General features: G+C 44.4%; 1 protein-coding gene across 1 annotated transcript in view; it reads right to left on the bottom strand.

Moving 5' to 3' along the window:
• GARIN1A (golgi associated RAB2 interactor 1A) overlaps window positions 1-5,768 on the bottom strand; it is a 37,538-nt gene that overhangs the window by 106 nt on the left and 31,664 nt on the right. The window lies entirely within an intron of this gene.

Here is a 5,768-nt window from a genome sequence, read left to right as displayed (position 1 = left end):
AATGGGGAGTTCACACTCATTCCTTTTAAGGCTATGACCTGAAAATGGCATAATCACTTTTGCTCACATCCCATTGGTCGGAATTCAAACACAGGGCCACACCCAGATACAAGGGAAGCTGGGAAATGTAGCTTTTCACTGGGTGGCCATGAGCCCACCTACAACTGGAGAATTATTTATTATTTAAGGATGAGGGATATTGATGGACAATTAGCAACCCGTGGGAAGAAGCTATGTCACAGAATGACTCCCCTTGCCATACGCATTAAGTATGTAGTTTATTTAAAAAACAAAAGATTAACTATTGATAACCTAACAAAGAAAGAGGTTAAGTCAGGTGGCCAAAGGGTAGAAAAGACATAAAATCTGGAGATAGCCTGATAATAAAGAATGCTAATTAATAATATTGTCCGTGTTCTCACAAATTACTCCCTCCCTCTCCCCAAATTGGAGAAGAGCAGTCTGAGGGAGTGAGAAATCAGCTCAGGAAAACAATTCAAGAAAACCCTTCAAGAGTAGAAGAAAACAATTCAAGAAAAACCTTCAGAAATCCCCTATCAGTCACAGCACTGTCTCATTAGAGACAGAAAAGCCCAGCTGGGTTCACCATTGTTCAGTTCTTCAGGCTGATTTGACGAAGGATTACCTCATGAGAATAGGATACACCTCCAAATAGAAAAGAGAGCTTTTTAAAATTTTTCAGGAGACACTCAGCCTTAAAAAAGAAAGAAATTGGCCCGGTGCAATGACTCACACCTATAATCCCAACACTTTCAGAGGCCGAGGTGGGAGAACTGTTTGAGCTCAGGAGTTTGAGATCAGCCTGGGCAACATAGTGAGAACTTGTCTCTACTAAAAATTAAAAAAAAAAAAAAAAAAAATTGTCCAGGTGCAGTGGCATGTGCCTGTAGCCCCAGCTACCTGAGAGGCTGAGGCAAAAGGATCGCTTGAGCCTGGGAAAGCAAGGCTGCAGTGAGCCATGACATACCATTGCACTCTTGCCTAGGCCACAGAGATCCTGGAAAGAGGGAAATAAAAGAAAACAAAAGAAAAGAAGGAGAGAAAGGAAGGAGAAAGAGAGAGAGAGAAATAAAGGAGGAAGGAAGTAAGGAAGGGAGAAGGGAAGGGAAGGAAGGAAAGGAAGGAAGGAAGGAAGAAAAAGCAAGAAAGGAAGGAAGGAAGGAAAAGAAAGAAAGGAAGAAAGGAAATCCTGCCATAGGCAAGAGCATGCATGGACCTAATGAAATAAACCAGACACAAAAAGACAAATACTGTATGATGTCACTTATACACAGAATCAAAAATATTTGGCCGGGCAGGGTGCTCACATCTGTAATCCCAGTACTTTGGGAGGCCAAGGCGGGAGGATCATTTGAACCCAGGAGTTCAAGACTAGCCTGGGCAACATAGTGAGACCCCATCTCTAAAAATAAAATATAGTAATAATAAAAATTAGCAGGGCCTGTGTTCCCAGGCTGAGGTGGGAGGATTGCTTGAAGCCAGGAGATTGAGGCTGCAGTGAGCCATGATGGTGCCACACTGTACTCCAGCCTGGGTGACAGAGAAAGACCCTTTCTCAAAGAAAAGAAATTAGTCAAACTCATAGAAGCAGAGTGTAGAACAGTGATTGCCAGGGGCTGGGTAGGGAGGTGAAGATGAGGAGATGATGGTCAAAGAGTACAAAGTTTCAGTTGTAGGATAGATGAATGAGTTCTAGAGATTTACTATGAGGCATCATGCCTACCACTAACAATGCTGTACTATATAGTTAAAATTTCCCAAGAGGGTAGATCTTATATTGAACATTCTTCACACACACACACACACACACACACACACATACATACACACAATAATAATAATAATAGGGCAGAAGGAAAATTCGGGAGGTGATGGGTATGTCTATGGCCTTGATGGTAGTAAGGTTGGCTTCACAGGTATATACCTAACCCACATTCATCAAGTTGTATACATTAAATATATACAGCTTTTTACATCTCAATCATACCTCAATAAAATGGTTAAAAAAAAAAACTTTTAGGAGAGAGCATACCCCATGTCCTCTGACAAAGGCTACAGACAGGCCCCTGAGTCCTCATCACCCCAGGATCTTCAGCCTATGGAAGAGTGAATGTCAATAATACAACCTGCAGCCTTCCAACCCCATTGTAGCCCTTTGCATTTCCCAGAGTCCCACGAGGAGCTGCCTTACTGCCTGCTGTGTGACAGCAAGCAGGGAAGGAGACAGAGGTGAGCCCACCAGGCTCTGGGATCGCAGGATGCCCAGGGATGAAGGATGAGGCAGATCAGAGAACTTCTCAAAGACAGAGGGCTTGCTCAGTAGGGGCGGTGGCGGGTGAGGGAGTCAGCCAGTGTGATTGGGAGACTAGTTACATGAGCAAATAAGTAAACATACTGAGGATAATGGTAGCCAGGTTTCTCACTGTGGGAGGAGGTCCTTGTAAGCATGGCAAGCTTGGGAAGGCTAGAAAGAACCCTGAGGTGGTAGACTGAAACTGGAGATATCAAAATGAACTCAGTTTAAAATATATAAATAAATAGAGAGAGAGAGAGATGGAGATATATAGTTATAGGTGCATGAGTGTATAAAAATGTCTGTGCATATATGGATGTGTGTGCGTGTGTGTGTTTTTCTAAATCTGTCCATTGAGAGGGCCTACAAGCAGTGACACCACAGTAGGAAGAAGCACGCTAAGTATGTAGATTGGTTTCCAAATACCATCTTCCACTCTAAAGAACCGGGATTTCTTGGAGGAATGGCTGATTCCAAGATTGGGGCAGGAAAAGTACAAGATAAGAGTAGGGCCTCTTGTTTGCCAGAAAGGAAGGAAGTGCTCAAAGAATGATGCAGACAAGTCAAAAGAATGCAGAAGACAGCCTGGAGGTGCTCCTGCAGGCCAAATTTGGGACTGTTTGAATGTCAAAGCAGATAATGACAGTAATGAGTTACAAACTCTTGAATAAAATTGGAACCTATGAGTCATACTGATGAGAGAGAGAGGGAGAGAGAGAGGAACCTCTTCCTTATAGTAGAATGCCAACTCTTAATTGTAGAAGGGATAATGGAAGCAGAAAATCACTATTTGGCAGGGCGCCATGGCTCACACCTGTAATCCCAACACTTTGGGAGACCGAAGTGGGTGGATCACTTGAGCATGAAGTTTGAGGCCAGCCTGGGTAACACAGCGAGACCCTGTCTCTACAAAAATTAGCTGGGCGTAGTGGCACGCGCCTGTGGTCCCAGCTATTTGGGAGGCTGAGGTGGGAGGATCACCTGAGCCCGGGAGGTGGAGGTTGCAGTGAGCTATTATCATGCCATTGCACCCCAGCCTGGGCGACAGAGTGAGATCCTGTCTCAAAAAAAAAAAAAAAAAAAAAAAAAAACACCAAAAAAATCACCATTTGGCGCCATCAGTGTTGCGGCTGATTCAGGCAGAAGTTTTCAATAGAGGCTAAGGCTGGTGAGTAGAGGAAGTTTGATGAAGAAATGGTATCAATGCAATCTTGGGATATATTTTTGGAAAACCTTCTGAATTATAGAAGGGGAAGTGATAATGTTATGGTAGAAAAATCTGGCAGACAACAAAATCAGTCCCCCGATGTGCAGCTGTGAGAACGGCACGGCTCCATCCCCAGGGCACTCCTGCCGAGAAAACAAGACCCAAGTTTGACCATGATGAAACACCAGACAGACCCACCTGAAAAGGTAAAGCCTGTGCCGTCTAAGACAGTTGAGAACAAGAAAGACAAGGAAAGGACAAGAAACTGTTCCCGATTGGGGGATGGGGTGGAAGGATCATACTGACAACACATGGAAACCAAATTCCATGTATGTTCATGAGGGAAATGTTTCTAGCAGCTTTATCACCCAAACTGGAAATGACCCAGATGTCCTTCAGCAGGTGAGTTGATAAACAAACCGCGTTACATCCGCACAGTGGAATACCATTCAGCAACAAAAAGGAACAGACTGTTGACTCATGCAAGAGTAAGGCTAAGTGAAAGAAGACAGAAAGCTCCATATTGTAGGATTCCATTGACCTATTTTGAACTCCTTCCTCTGACAGTGAGAAAGCTGGCTCTCATGATGGTTCCTTATTTGTTCAGTCCTAATATGCTGAACATTATAATGTAATGTAGTTTCAGAATTGCTAACCCATATTGTGTAAGAAGCAAATTTACCCACTAAAGCAGGGGTCCCCAGCCCCCAGGCTGCTGCAGACTGTTAGGAACCCGGGTCGCACAGCAGGAGGTGAGTGGCCGGCAGTGAGTGAAGCTTCATCTGTATTTACAGCCTCTGCCCATTGCTTACATTATCACCCAAGTTCGGCCTCCTGTCAGATCAGCGGCGGCGTTAGATTCTCATAGGCGTGCGAACCCTATTGTGAACTGCACATGTGAGTGATCTAGGTTGCACGCTCCTTGTAAGACTCTAGGCTGGAAGCGGTGGCTCATGCCTGTAATCCCAGCACTTTGGGAGGCTGAGGTAGACAGATTACCTGAAGTCAGGAGTTTGAGACCAGCCTGGCCAACATGGTGAAACCCCGTCTGTACTAAAAATACAAAAATTAGCCAGGTGTGGTGGCACATGCCTGTAATCCCAGCTACTTGGGAGGCTCAGGCAAGAGAACTGCTTGAGCCTGGGAGATGGAGGTTGCAGTGAGCCGAGATGGTGCCACTGCACTCCAGCCTAGGTGACAGAGCAAGACTCTGTTTCAAAAAAAAAAAAAAGGTTACTCTAACTAATAATGCCTGATGATCTAAGGTGGAACAGTTTCATCCCGAAACTATCATCATCATCCCCGCCCCCCCACCCTCCATCTGTGGAAAGACTGTCTTCCAAGAAACCAGTTCCTGGTGCCAAAAAGGTTGGGGACCACTGAACTAAAGCACAGCTTTTATGCACTTCTTTTGGTCTTTAGCCAATCAGTATAGTTTCCCAAAGCAACTGAGTGAGCTCTTTCTTCTCCATTCCCTTCAATACAGTACAGTTAGATTCATTTGTCACAGTCTGCATTCCAACCTGGGTTCCCCTGACATTCAGTTGATTTTTTTCCTTTGCATACAGTGAAACTCACTCTTTGTGGCATACCTTTTAACAAATGCACAGGGTAATGCATCCTCCAACGTCGAGTCACCTCTCGTGCTGTTCCTCTGTAGTGAAATCTTCCCCCAAGCCCTAATTGGCCCCACTGAATTGTTTACTAATCTGCCAAGCACTGATTTGGCAGCATCTGCACTTTCTTTTTCTTTTTTTTTTTTTGAGACAGGATGTCGCTCTGTCATCCACACTGGAGTGCAGTGGCAAGATCATAGTTCACTGCAGCCTTGAACTCCTCTGCTCAAGCGATCCTCCTGCCTCAGCCTCACGAGTCAGTAGGACTATAAGCTGCTCCACCATGCCCAGCTAATTTTTAAAATTTGTTGTAGAGACGGGATCTCTCTATGTTGCCCAGGCTGGTCTCAAGTGATCCTTCTGCCTTGGCCTCCCAAAGCGCTGGGATTATAGGCATGAGCCACTGTGCCCTGCCCTGTACATTTTGATATGCCGTATTTTTGTTTTCATTCAGCTGGGCGCAAACTGTTTTAAAATTTCCCTTTAGTCCTCTTTGATCCATGGGTTATGTAGAAGTGTGTAGTTTATATTTTGGGATTTCCCAGAAATCTTTCTTTTACTATTTACAGTTTAATTTTGTCGTGGTCTGATTATACACTTTGCATGAAATTTGTTGAGGTTTATTTTATGG

The sequence above is a fragment of the Homo sapiens genome, chromosome 7, assembly GCF_000001405.40.
Source record: "Homo sapiens chromosome 7, GRCh38.p14 Primary Assembly".
Lineage (NCBI taxonomy): Eukaryota > Metazoa > Chordata > Mammalia > Primates > Hominidae > Homo > Homo sapiens.
This window is presented reverse-complemented; position numbering and strand designations above follow the sequence as displayed.